The sequence below is a fragment of the Homo sapiens genome, chromosome X, assembly GCF_000001405.40.
Source record: "Homo sapiens chromosome X, GRCh38.p14 Primary Assembly".
In the NCBI taxonomy this organism is placed as follows: domain Eukaryota; kingdom Metazoa; phylum Chordata; class Mammalia; order Primates; family Hominidae; genus Homo; species Homo sapiens.
In genome coordinates this window covers 5889613-5904442 of record NC_000023.11, presented here as the reverse complement: position 1 = coordinate 5904442, position 14830 = coordinate 5889613, and the positions used below count along the sequence as shown (strand labels likewise).

Genomic DNA, 14830 nt, shown 5'->3' with positions numbered 1-14830 from the left:
TGTATTTATTTTAATTGGCAAATCTTAATATCTTCATTAGACTCAAGGTAGAAGTAGAAATGCGCTCCTGAATTAGCACTCTGAAGTTGATTCAAGTGGATTTCTTTTTTTCCCATAATGAAGAGATACCTAGTTTTGCTTGTGAGACAAGAGGGCCTTTGAACTGGTACTAGCTTAAAGCATTTTTTTTCTTGGAAATGGGGAATGCAGTTGCTCTTGGAGTTTTTATATATGGCATCTGGAGGCAAGGAAGCAAAAACGACACTAAATTGTGGAAGGAAAAAGAAATCACATGTATTTTACCAGTGCAGGAGAAGTGTCAATGTGGTTTCATTTCCTTAAACTCGTGTGTGTGTGTGTGTGTGTAGAATAACATTCCCTAAAATGAATGTTCAGGAGGAGGGGTGAAGGGGGAATGGAAATGAAAATGGGTAAAAGGGCCCCTGACAGAGCTGAATGCTACTACATCCAGAAACTCACATGCCTGAGAGACAATCACAGCCTTCATTGCTCAGTAAAAGCTGCATTTCTGTCCTGTGGGTTTTCATTTGCATGTCCACAATTTTGCACCTGCAGGTCTCTTCCAGAAGGCCATCATTCAGAGCGGCACCGCCCTGTCCAGCTGGGCAGTGAACTACCAGCCGGCCAAGTACACTCGGATATTGGCAGACAAGGTCGGCTGCAACATGCTGGACACCACGGACATGGTAGAATGCCTGCGGAACAAGAACTACAAGGAGCTCATCCAGCAGACCATCACCCCGGCCACCTACCACATAGCCTTCGGGCCGGTGATCGACGGCGACGTCATCCCAGACGACCCCCAGATCCTGATGGAGCAAGGCGAGTTCCTCAACTACGACATCATGCTGGGCGTCAACCAAGGGGAAGGCCTGAAGTTCGTGGACGGCATCGTGGATAACGAGGACGGTGTGACGCCCAACGACTTTGACTTCTCCGTGTCCAACTTCGTGGACAACCTTTACGGCTACCCTGAAGGGAAAGACACTTTGCGGGAGACTATCAAGTTCATGTACACAGACTGGGCCGATAAGGAAAACCCGGAGACGCGGCGGAAAACCCTGGTGGCTCTCTTTACTGACCACCAGTGGGTGGCCCCCGCCGTGGCCACCGCCGACCTGCACGCGCAGTACGGCTCCCCCACCTACTTCTATGCCTTCTATCATCACTGCCAAAGCGAAATGAAGCCCAGCTGGGCAGATTCGGCCCATGGTGATGAGGTCCCCTATGTCTTCGGCATCCCCATGATCGGTCCCACCGAGCTCTTCAGTTGTAACTTTTCCAAGAACGACGTCATGCTCAGCGCCGTGGTCATGACCTACTGGACGAACTTCGCCAAAACTGGGTACGTTCATCTTCGTGTTGGGGTATCACTATCCTTGCCACTTGTTTGTGTCCTCAATATAGGTGTTGCTTCTACTGCCACGTGCAGGAGCACACACGCATACACACACATACACATGCATGCACACACATACACACAGACACACGCTTACACACACAGCAGTAACAGGCAGCTTCTCCCCCAACATCTATGGCAACTCATTTTTTTCTTTACTCCTAAAGTGTTATAGGAGTAAAACACTTAACTGTCAAACCAGATTTTTACTAGAGTTCTAATTGCCCATTGGGAATTCCAGAGTTCCTACCTGCAGGTGCAGGACTCATACATATATGATGGTTCTGTTAACAGCTGATTAAACGGTTTTGTTTTTGTCCTTGTTGTTTTAGAGACACAGTCTCACTCTGTTGCCCACACTGGAGTGCAGTGGTGCAACAGTAGCTCACTACAGCCTCCTTGAACTCCTAGGCTCAAGCCATCCTCCTGCCTCAGCCTCCTGAGTAGCTGGGACTACAGGTGCCTGCCACCATGCCTGGCTAATTTTTAATTTTTTTTTTTTGGTAGAAAGAGGGTCTCACTCTGTTGCCTAGGCTGGAGTATAGTGGCGCAATCATAGCTCACTGAAGCCTCGAGCTCATGGGTTCATGTGATCCTCCCATCTCAGCCTCTTGAGTAGCTGGGACTACAGGCGTGCACCACCATGCCCTTACATGGATTTTTGTAGACACAGGGTTTGCTATGTTGCCCAGGCTTCTCTCAAACTCCTGGGCTCAAGGGATCCTCCCACATCAGCCTTCTGAATAGCTGGGACTACAGGTGCACACCACCTTACTCAGCTAATTTTATTTTGTTAGAGACAGGGTTTTGCTGTGTCACCCGAGCTGGTCTCAAACTCTTGGGCTCAAGTGATCTTCCCACCTCAGCCTCCAAAAGTGCTGAGATTACAGGTGTGAGCCATCACACCAGCCCTCATTACAGAGTTTTAAGTCTAATTTCAACCATATCTCTTTTGTTAATTTGCAAGGATATCACAGCACATGTACCACTTGGGGAACTGTGTTGATTGCCTGGCCATAGGAATGAAAACAAATATCATAATAATTATAAAGAAATATAAATATATATTCCTATATATATTTAATGTCTATATAAAAATATAGATATTCCTATTTGTATAATATAGTACATTTATATTTGTATTTGTATATATATACACACAAATATATTTGTATATACAAATACAAATATATATACAAATACTATATATATACAATATATATACAAATACAAATATATATATACACAAATACGTTTGTATTTTCTCTGCTATATAAATAACTAGAGAGAGAAAATGAAAATATATGATATTTGTATCATATTGCTATATGTCATGCATACATAAACACACACACACAAACACACATACATGTGTATCTCACAGGAAAGCTCATTTATTGGCCTAAATATAGTAGAAAATATAAAATATACAAAAAGCATATATACAACAGAGTCTGCCAATATTCTGCTGAGCGGATTCTCTGCAAACCATGGGAGAAAAGAACCCAAAACAACCTAAATAGCTCCAAACATTGTGGCATTTTTTCATTTTCTCTTGTCTAATAATGTAACTGTGGAAATGGATGGGGTGTCATTCTGTTCTACCAGTGTGTGCCTCCATCATCACCCTGAGCCTCTTTACACTGAATGAGAGAGAAAGATGTGCCTGTCGCCCAGGGAGGGTAAATCTTCCCGTGCGGAATGAGGCTCTGAGACTGCAGTGGCCCTGCCACACATGAGTTATGCACAGTAATCCTTAGAAGATCTGGGGATGCTGGTGGTTTCAATGCCTACGTGTTTAGCAGCTGGCATACTGTACAAAGATTCCAAAGTGGTTTGGGTAGGGAGTGGTTTGAGAATGTTTTGTGCCCTTGGCGAAAGTACAGCATGTTTTTGGAGTGGAAAAGGTATCACCTGGATACCACCTTTCAATAATCAGACTTTGTAGATTTGGTCTGAGAAAGGCTACCCAGAGGAGAAGAGAGGAGGGACCCACATTTGATGCAAATGCTTGTCTATCACTCAACGGTTCTTTTTTGTGTGAAGAAATGATTGAAATCAAATTAATACTTTTTTTAAAGTAAACCTTGTTTATTAGTTTGTTGGGACTGCTGTTATCAGAGTATCCAAAACTGTATGGCTATGCTGGGCGCAGTGGCTCATGCCTGTAACCCCAGCACTTTGGGAGGCCGAGGCAGGAGGATCACCTGAGGAGGCCAAGAGTTTAAGACCAGCCTAGGCAACATAGTGAGAGTCCGTCTCTACAAAACAAATGAAAAAATTTAGCTGTGCATGGTAGCATATGCCGAGAGTCTCAGCTTCTCAGGAGGCTGAGGCAGAGGGATCACTTGAGCTCAGGAGGTCAAGGCTGCAGTGGGCCATGTTTGCACCACTGCACTCCAACCTGGGTGACAGACCGAAACCTTTATCTTTAAAAAAAAAAAAAAAAAAAAAAAAAAAAAGCACCAAAAACGGTGTGTCTTATAACAACAGAAATGTATCGGTTCACGCTTTCTAAGGCCAGAAGTTGCAAATGAAGGTGCTTGCAGGGCCAAGTTCCCTCCAAATCTGTAGGGGGAGGGTATTTCCTTGCTCCTTCTTAGTTACTGGTGTTTGGGTGCAGTCTTTGGCATTCCTACCTTGCAGGTGCACCATCCCACTCTGTGTCTTTGTCATCTTACGGCCTCCCTGTGTGTCTCTGTCTCCACATGGCCGTCTTCATATAAGAGCATCTGCCAAGGTGCATTAGAAGCTCACCCTACTCTAGTATGACCTCAACTTAACATAAATAGTCATATCTGCAGTTACCCTATTTCCAAATAAGCTCACATACTGAGATACTGGGGTTATGACTTCAGCGTATCTTAATTTATGGGGAGACAGTATTCAATCTCTAATACCCTGTGAAATCAGGGCCAGGCCCTCTTTTGTGACAGCACTGAGATAGGCGGTGTCTGCCCTTGCAGAGAATTTCATCCTCTTGAAGCCTAAAGACTTCCATGAGAGTTTCCCAACATGGCTATACTCATTCAATCTTCGCTACATTGGCATCCAAACGTATTACCGACTTGGTCTGCAAACACTCTCTTTACTTACTCTCATTAAAAACATATGCTTTTTCTTTTCCTCCTTACATGATTTGAAAATAAACTTTATATGATTATCTTAAGTGGAAAGCTAGAATCATTCCTCATACATTTTATGGAACCATTAAAACAATAGTGAAATCTAAATAATGCTGTTAAATTCTCATTAGCTCTTCCTGACTTCCAAAGGCTATGAGACTGAGGCTGGCTCTCTCATTATTAAAAAAAAATAAAAAAAAAAAAAAAGGAAAAAAGACAGAAAAAGATAAAGGAAGTTAATTAGTTCCATGAGGTGATCGTTATCACTGCTGACACCAAATGGACGCTTTTACCAAGACATCACGAAGGTCTGAGAGAGCCGTGAGAAGAGAATACCACAATGATCTCTCTGTTATTGAGTGCTTTTAATGCCATGAATCTGTTTCTTAAAATCACTTGGCTTAGAGCCTGTGATTTCCACCCTGCATTTAGGGAATACATTCACGTTGCCATTCATGGTCTGTGTTGAGGGTGCTTCTAGCTTTCATGAAGGCCCTGACATGGCTGGAAGAGATGAGGAAGGAATAACTGCTAGAACTTGGAGAGACGCTCTGATGCTACTGAAATCAAAAGCTGCAGGTAGAGAGAGTTCATTGAGGTACCCAGAGCTCGAATGTCAGTCCGTCTGAAGCCTCTATTTTTGTTTCTTCCGCCCATGGGAAACATCCCTGAAATAACACTGAGTGTATTAATGCAGTGAGCTCTTTTAATTCATTGGAAAGGTATTAGAATGACTCAAATGATTCCTCAAGGAAGTTACTCAGAACTTACATCTCATGTGAAATGCAACGTGTGGATTCAAATACAAATAGTTTAAGTGATCACACCTCCATGGCAGCCCCATAAAAGAAGGAAATGGGGAATTTCACTGTCGGGCACAGTCTGGTGAGCTAGGTATTCGTCAGTGGATGACAAGGACTTCAGTTGCAGTTGGTAGTTATTTGTTTATTGTAAATTGGGTGGTGGCCCGATCACTCCAGGGCAGAGAAGGATTCCCTGGTCACCAGGTGCAGAGAATGAACCAAACTGATGCCCGCAAGGAGAAAGTATGGGATGCACCTTATCTGCTGTCATGGTGTGAGCTGCCAAGTTTAACGCCATTTTGCAGAGCACACACTCAGATGATGACTCACAGAACAGGAGGGCATATTTCTGCATACCATCACTGTTCCCTTCCAGCACTGGAGGTGACAGGAGGAAACAAGAATAGCTCCCAGCGTGTCTGTCACTACACGGTGCCGTGGAGAAAGGATCGCATTGTGCCAGGACATACTTCACCACTCTCAGTGGGCGTTAAGTCAAGCGTTCTAAACCTGCAGGCACAGCCAGTCTCTCGATGGCGCATGTGTTTGCCAAGATGAAGTGGATGGGGTCTGGATGCTTCTATATAGACATCTCAAAGTAGATGGTTCTGACCTTTAGTCTAGGTTTGAAGGCACATATACCTGGTATACATAAACCTTTGGTTTTGGGATGAGCACAGAAAAATGATGTTGGGATGTGCATGGCGGAGAAAAGGAAGGAAGGAGGGAGGGAATGGAGGAAAGAGAGTTCAGACAAAGGAACGAAGGGAGGGAAGGAGGGAGGGAGGGAGGAAAAGAAAAGGAGGGCGGGAGGGAATCAAGAAAGGAGTAAAGGAAGGGAGGAAGGGAGGAAAGAAAGAGGTAAGGGGGGAGGAGAGGAAGGAAAGAAGAAGGGAAGGAAGGAGGGAGGGAAGGTGAAAGGAAGAAAGGGAGGAAGGAAGAAAAGATGGAAGGAAGGAAAGGAAAGAGAGAAAAGAGGGAAGAGAGGAAGGGAGAAGGGAGAAAGAAGAGAGGAAGGAAGGAAAGTAGCGAGGGAAGGAAGGAAAAAATGGAGGGAGAGAGAAAGAAGGAAGGGAGGGAGGAAGGAAGAGGGAGGAAAAAGGGAATGGAGGAGGAGAGGAAGAAGGGAGGGAGGGAAAGAAGGAAAACAGGGAAAAGGAGGGTAAGAGAGAGAAAAGAGGGAAGGGGGAGAGGAGGAAGGAAAGAAGGAGGGAGGGAGGGACAATTGGATCTTTGCTTATAAATTATGTCACCTGTATATTTTCATGGTAGCATTAGGTGAGAGGGCTCTCCCATCTTAGAAAGGCGGAGTCAGCGAGTACGCATAGTAGAAATGAGGAGGAAGTCCCTACGGAGGCTCTAAATTATGAAAACCTTGATCAAGAAAGGATGTTGAAATCATTGAATGCCAGGGCCTCAAGTAATCCTTGCTATTTCTTTTTTATTATTATTTTGAATAGGGAAGCAGTTGCCCAGGCCTGTGCCTGAGGGGGATCCTCCCCTGTAGCAAGGAGGTGTTTCAATGTTAGTCCAGGTCAGAGGACTAAAATCATGCTGGAAGAGAACCGTGTGAGCCCAAACATGCAGAGGCATTGTAGAAATAAGGTAGATTGAGACCGTTTTTGGAAATCAGCTGCAGTGTCAAGGAGAAGTGAAAACTAACTCTAAAGTTTCAAAAGGGTTCTAGAGCATTAAAGTCCTTTTCCTGGAAAATTACTTTGGGAATAGGAGAAAAAGGGTTCGTCCAAGCTGATCAATGAAATTCAGGTGCTCAGTGATCCAGGATTCTTTCATTTTGAGCTCTGTGTGGAAAGAGATGGACAAAAAGGAGTGGGGAATCTTGGTTTATTTATAAGGTATGACAAAGAACAGTGCTTTAAAGTAACCAAACAATGCATTATAATATAGAATAGAAGACCTTATGTGCTATTGGAAGTCAGATATGAGAAGAGAGTTTTGTAATGGAAAATCAGATCAACACATATTTTGATTTTTTTATGTTGTTCCATCGAGTCTGGGGTTTGTACGGCAGATTGATTTCTGTCCTGTTTGCATCAGCTACCATCACTGCTTTTGAATGTGCTGGTATCCTATGATTAATTTACGTTCAACTATTGTTAAATCTTTGGGAAAAAAAAGAAGTTCCAATGAGGTATTTAGTGGGGATGGGTTACAGAGAGTTGCAGCGTAATTCTGGCTGTAAAGGCGACCTTTATTACCAAAAAGGAATTTTAAGCTGAATGAATGAACATCCCCACCTGGTGTGGAAGAGGAGTCACTGAATGCATAATAAACTAGTCCGGTAATAATCGTTAACTGCGAACAATGTTTTGGGTATGAGGAAAACCTGTACTACTTAAAGGAACAGCTGAGAGGATTCACAGATATTTTTAGAGAGATCATAGTACTATATCCATCTCCAGCTAAAGAAATGAACTAGACCTTAGAAAGGCACTTGAGTCTCTGCTGCCAAGATGACATCTCAAATAAAACAGGACAGGTGGAAATGGCTGTGTTAGGTGCTGGGGGATAAGGAGGAAGACATGCATTGAGTCTTTTACTAGAGAGACCAACTTGTGTTTCTGTCCTCAATCATTATAGTCTTTAATTTTACTCACAGGAGTTTAAACACTTCTTAGGCTGAATAAAGTCTAAAAAACAAAACACTGATACCCCACATCTAGACCTCACTGTCTGGAGGGTTTGGTAAGGGAGAATGACTTGGGCTATCATAATCTCCACAAGTTTATCTGGCTTTAAGAATTCTGGCTGTGCATCTCCGAGATCTTTAATAGACAGACGGTATCAGGTGGCAGCTCATTTATATGGATTTTCCAAATCCTCTGCTTTATTCTTCAAGAACAAAATATAATGTGTTTTCTTTACCTTTCAAATATACCCTGAGTTCCTTCGAAAATAGCCTTGTACCCAACATGAACAGAATACTCCTTTTCCTAGATGCTCACTGCTTAATAGATGAGGTAGCCACACATCTAATAGATCCAATTCAGTAAAATTGGATCCATGGAAAAAAAGGTAGAATCTTCACTTCCATTTGTTTCTTTAGAATATTAAAAATCAATAACTAATATTAGTGGATTTTTTTCCTAAAATATTCATTCACTTATTTTTCTTTCAGTACACGTTAAATAACTGAAAATTTTAAAATTATTTCAGAGGACTTAAAGAGCAAAAGAAACATGAGTTGCTGCATTGAATCCAACATTTTTTCAAAACCATGTAAGAATACATGCATAATAAATAAAAAAAGCAGAAGACTTTTCAAATATATTGTTTATCAGTAAATAAGAAAACTCATGGTATTAGAACCTATGAGATTATATATATTTGTTCTCACCCTATTAGTAAAGTGAAAACACAGCAGTTAGTGTGCATTCAACTAAAGGGTAGAGGTCAACTTTCTTTTTCTCCTGTATTATGTTATACATCTAATATCTATATCTATAGATAGATATACACATACACATATATACACATGACATACATATATATACTGCATATAGTATATAGTTAGTATGCAGTATAAACTGTGGTATGCAGTATACTTGTATATAGTATGTAATATACAATATACTTTTATGCACTCTACAATGTATACAATATAGAAATTCAGTATGTACTCTGATATACAGTATATCACTCCCTACTTCTCCCTCCCTTGCAATATTATAGGTGTTCTATTTTTTATATTGGAAGAGAGGGGGTAATATTTCCTGAATTCTTACCATATGCCAGACATCTTGTCATTATCTTTCAACCTTCATCACTTACCTCCAACCCTGATATTTTCATCAGCCATGTAGAGGAGTAAGTTAAGGCCAATACTGGCTGGAAAACTTGCTTAAGATTTCACAGCTCTTAACTAGCCAGAGCTGCAGAAAGTTGAATACAGGGAAATGATTTATTTTATCACCACCACAGACTCAGACTGAGGGGATAAAATCTTCCTTCAGCAAGTGTGGCGCCTCTGGCTCAAGTATATTGTTTGAATCCTGCACAGTGTCTGGTAATGGCTACAGATACATGATCTTCCTTGGTCCTGCAGCCTTCTGCCATGCAGGCCATGCAATGACTGGAGGCAGTTTCACAGAAGTCCCGCCAAGGAGAAGTTACCTGGAAGATAGCCCTTAGCTCACACCTGGAGCCATTGATCAGGATGTTGCAACTCCCTGCTTGCCTGGTTCTGCACATCACATCTCAATGCTCAGTGCTAACTAGTACATAACATTTTGCCATGCATAATCTCAAATCGTTTTTATAACAAATAAACCTTAAGACGTAATTGTTTTTTAGCTTACTTTACAAGCCATAAAAAAAATGGAAGAAATGAGCATTTGGTAATTTATTTTTTGAAGGGGAAGTGTTATCCTAAAAGAGTCAGTTGCAAAGATGTTTATTAAAGGCCCTATGTTTTATGAATTATCTCCAAATTTTTATGATTCTCCTTCTACCTGTGACCACTTGTGCAAATAATAAGAAGATAATTCTTTGGCTCATAGTTTCCAAGCACAACTTAGCATCTGTAACAGCCCTTGACTTGTTTCTGGGTGTCTTTTTTATCTTAAACATGTTAACCTCATCATAACTATATGTACCATTTTAGCAAACTTCTTACAGCTAACATAGCGTGCTTTCATCTTTTTACCTTCAAATAGAGAGCAAACACATGGTGCATATGTCTATTTACAAACACTTTGTAATTATAAAGCCTATTTTTATTTCTACTGTTAATATCAATTTTCATTGCTAAAACTGCAACATTTATTCATTTACTTCAAAAGCAATTCTTGAGCAAGAAAGAGAATACCCATTTCTTGGACAATAGCTTCTTAATCAGAATTTCTCAACCTCAGTACTGTTAACATTTGGGTCCAGATAACTTCTTTGCTGTGGGGGTCTCTCCTGTGCACCAGAGGGTATTTAGTAGCATCCCTCACCTCCACCCTTCATAGAACAACCCTTCGTCTACGGAAACCAAAAGTGTCTCCAGATACTGCCAAATATCCCTTTGGAGCAAATCAGTCCTGGATGAGTTTTACAGTTCGACAAGAGTGAAACTTGAAATACTGAAATTTTTCCTAGAGACACTTAGTTTTCCTTCTTTCCCTTTATTTTTGAAGATCATTTGATGCCTTAAAAAATAGTAAACATGTTATAAAAATTGCATAATGCTGCTATCAGGATTTATATTTAAAAGAAAAATAAGAGCAATTTTTAAAGGAAAAGACAACATGGTAGACAGGTCTAGGATTAAAGCAGAATGTACCTTTGCTGCTTGGGTATTTTGTGCTCATTGATAAATATATATGAAGAGCAGATTGTAACTTCCTGATTTATTGGTTTAAGATAATTTCACGTCACATGTGGAAGAGTATGACCTTTCTTTTTTTCTTCCTTCTATCCTCAGTGATCCAAATCAACCAGTTCCTCAGGATACCAAGTTCATTCACACAAAACCCAACCGCTTTGAAGAAGTGGCCTGGTCCAAGTATAATCCCAAAGACCAGCTCTATCTGCATATTGGCTTGAAACCCAGAGTGAGAGATCACTACCGGGCAACGAAAGTGGCTTTCTGGTTGGAACTCGTTCCTCATTTGCACAACTTGAACGAGATATTCCAGTATGTTTCAACAACCACAAAGGTTCCTCCACCAGACATGACATCATTTCCCTATGGCACCCGGCGATCTCCCGCCAAGATATGGCCAACCACCAAACGCCCAGCAATCACTCCTGCCAACAATCCCAAACACTCTAAGGACCCTCACAAAACAGGGCCTGAGGACACAACTGTCCTCATTGAAACCAAACGAGATTATTCCACCGAATTAAGTGTCACCATTGCCGTCGGGGCGTCGCTCCTCTTCCTCAACATCTTAGCTTTTGCGGCGCTGTACTACAAAAAGGACAAGAGGCGCCATGAGACTCACAGGCGCCCCAGTCCCCAGAGAAACACCACAAATGATATCGCTCACATCCAGAACGAAGAGATCATGTCTCTGCAGATGAAGCAGCTGGAACACGATCACGAGTGTGAGTCGCTGCAGGCACACGACACACTGAGGCTCACCTGCCCGCCAGACTACACCCTCACGCTGCGCCGGTCGCCAGATGACATCCCACTTATGACGCCAAACACCATCACCATGATTCCAAACACACTGACGGGGATGCAGCCTTTGCACACTTTTAACACCTTCAGTGGAGGACAAAACAGTACAAATTTACCCCACGGACATTCCACCACTAGAGTATAGCTTTGCCCTATTTCCCTTCCTATCCCTCTGCCCTACCCGCTCAGCAACATAGAAGAGGGAAGGAAAGAGAGAAGGAAAGAGAGAGAGAAAGAAAGTCTCCAGACCAGGAATGTTTTTGTCCCACTGACTTAAGACAAAAATGCAAAAAGGCAGTCATCCCATCCCGGCAGACCCTTATCGTTGGTGTTTTCCAGTATTACAAGATCAACTTCTGACCCTGTGAAATGTGAGAAGTACACATTTCTGTTAAAATAACTGCTTTAAGATCTCTACCACTCCAATCGATGTTTAGTGTGATAGGACATCACCATTTCAAGGCCCCGGGTGTTTCCAACGTCATGGAAGCAGCTGACACTTCTGAAACTCAGCCAAGGACACTTGATATTTTTTAATTACAATGGAAGTTTAAACATTTCTTTCTGTGCCACACAATGGATGGCTCTCCTTAAGTGAAGAAAGAGTCAATGAGATTTTGCCCAGCACATGGAGCTGTAATCCAGAGAGAAGGAAACGTAGAAATTTATTATTAAAAGAATGGACTGTGCAGCGAAATCTGTACGGTTCTGTGCAAAGAGGTGTTTTGCCAGCCTGAACTATATTTAAGAGACTTTGTAAAAAAGAAAAATGTATATAGCTGTGAGTTTAAACAAAAACCACAAACAGACAAACAAGAAAAAAAGCTTTTATTGGTGTTTTCACTTTGAAAGAGCTTTTAGCAAGGTTGTGCTTTTCATTGTGCTCTGTACGTATATAAATATATATATATATACACACACACACACACATTAGTCATATCACCTCTGTTTCCTCCCCAACAAAAGAGGCTTTTCTTCTTAATTACTTGTGGTAAACAAAGACATGGGATTTTCTTACATGAGATTCTCATTTGTAGGAGGATGTGATGTCCCACAGAAGACCCAGACGGTCTGTGTGGCCTATTTCCCCCGTCAGGTTGCACAGGTGCATGCAAGAGCATTCTTAGGAGACCACTGTTTTGAAAAACTTTTGACTTGTACGTGTTAGCCTTCATGAAATTGCAGTACAGAGATGGGTCCCCAAAGTGGAGTGTATTTACAGCTTGTTAAATTAGAGACATGCACACACAAAGAATCAGTAGGGAGAAACAAAAATACAAGTCCCGTTCTGTAGCTCTGGCCCTTTGAATATGTTTAGGAAGAGTTGCTTCCCATTTCAGGGCCCTGCCAAAAAAAGAAGAAAGCTTGCCTTTGGTGGGGCTATGCCCCTTGGAGTAAATACGGCTCTGTGTTCCCTAGCAGCTGCGGGAGGGTTTGGCCGATGAAGTACCTGCTCAGCTTAGCTAATCAGATTGAAGGAAGACATGTGTCTTTCCTTTTTGTTTAAGCACTCGGTCCCTTATTTATCAGTAAGCAGGTTTTTAAAAATCTTTTATATCATTTATGGGATCAAACATATGATTGTCTGAAAACATCACTTTTTGTGGATTTGTGTATCCGGTCACCAAACGGTGAATATTATAGAAGAATGGGGGAAGAAAGGATAGAATATTAAAACTGCTTTGCATGGGTTTTCTGGGAAATTAGGATAACTTCACTGAGAAGACATTGAATGGAAATTATTCACCCATTTTAAATTGGTGACCTAGGGATCAGAGATTTGTCTTTCCAACAGCTTGTCATTTTTTCATTTCTCTTCTCATTTTTCAGGAAAGTTTTGAGTGTTATAAGGTGGAAGGAAACATAGTAGCAATGGATACTTTTTTGAAAAATTATTGCATTACCAAGAAACAGTAGCCAAAGATATTTGAAGATCATGTTCCTCGGCTCCATTGTGGGTTATTCTAGAAATCCAGTCTTAAATCTCTCCGCTAAAGTGGACATTCCCCATAAAAATTGTCCAGCTGCCTGGCTCTTTTGCAATAACAACCTTTGATTACTGAATCCCTACACTCAAACTATAGTGATATATCAGTGTTTGAGAGTGACCTCTAGAAAAAAGAAAAGTGTTTTTAGAAATGCGTACAAGTCACCCCCAAATCCTATTGCTTATCTTGGGTTAAATTTGAGAGTGATTCTCTGTATATAAATATGTGAAATATTATTATCTCAACTTAGCACACGTGAAGCAACATTTCTTTCCTACAGAGAGGTGTCATGGTAAGATTTCATTCCGAATTCATTGTTTCATAGAGCTATGATCAGGCCATTTCTGCAAGCAATGTATGACCCCACCTGAGCAACCACAAATAGGCTCTCTGTGAAACTACAAAGGAAGTTATGTGTGGCATCCATGTTGGTTTCGTCTGTCTGTAATGTGAATTCCAGTATTTGTTTAGTATTTCCAGTTGTCTCCTGCTAGCAATATGTACAGTAACGCGTCAGGCTTGTGACATTTGAATAAGGAAAAACAGAGTTCCTGTTAAGTGAATAACTTTAGCTTTTACAGGGGATTATGATCAAAAGTGATTTTAGTACATCTTAAATGATATCTTATTTCTACATGGAAAGAAGTTATAGAATCTTCATAGAGTTCTATGAGAAAAAATATACTTGCTATCTATAAAAAAGAGAAAAAAGAAAAAAAATGAGAAAAAAGTAAGAAAAAAAAAAATCCTGTCCTAGGCTTTTACTCTTGATCTTCAAAGGCACGCAGGGTTTAATGGTTCCTTGGGTTATTATTTTGCAGTTTTGTTTTTTATTTTGCCTTAAGTAATGATAGAAGATATATATGGCCGGACACATATGTATAAACTTTTCAGCAGCATTTTTAATAATAAAATATCACAGTATTTTCTAATGCTTTGTGCAAATAATTATGCGTCCATTCTTTCTTGGTAGGTGGCGTGTTTTATTTACTTTTGTTGTTCTTTGAATGTCTTTTTCTTTGTAAAAACTAAGTGATGCGCCTGACATAGGCTACAAATAGATAAATACATTTGGTAATGGGATAGTTTCTTTAGCTTTGGCCAGCTGCACAGTTGAGGAGGCTCTGCTGGCCTGATTTTGGAAAACCAAGCCCTGTTTGGTGAAGCTCCTCAGGTGACACTGTCTGAAACGGAGTGTTTGGATTTGTTATTTCTACCACTGTGCCTTCTTGCGTCACTGTGTTTTGATTTGTGGTCAACAAAACACTTTCAAATAGCCTTAGGTGAGTAAGCCTGCAAGTGACAGCAAGAAATTCTACCGAATGAAACTCAAGAGGCAGAAAATCACTATCATACCAATG

The 14830-nt window shown here is 41.1% G+C and overlaps 1 protein-coding gene across 17 annotated transcripts in view; it reads left to right on the top strand.

The window, feature by feature from the left end:
• NLGN4X (neuroligin 4 X-linked) overlaps positions 1 to 14401 on the top strand; it is a 338826-nt gene extending 324425 nt beyond the window's left edge. For all 17 annotated transcript variants that reach the window (NM_181332.3, XM_005274564.4, NM_001282145.2 and 14 more), the window contains 2 exons: positions 577 to 1366; positions 10777 to 14401. In NM_181332.3, coding sequence (NP_851849.1) covers positions 577 to 1366; positions 10777 to 11626 — 1640 coding nt within the window. In that variant the 3' untranslated portion in view covers positions 11627 to 14401. The remainder of the gene's footprint in view (positions 1 to 576; positions 1367 to 10776) is intronic.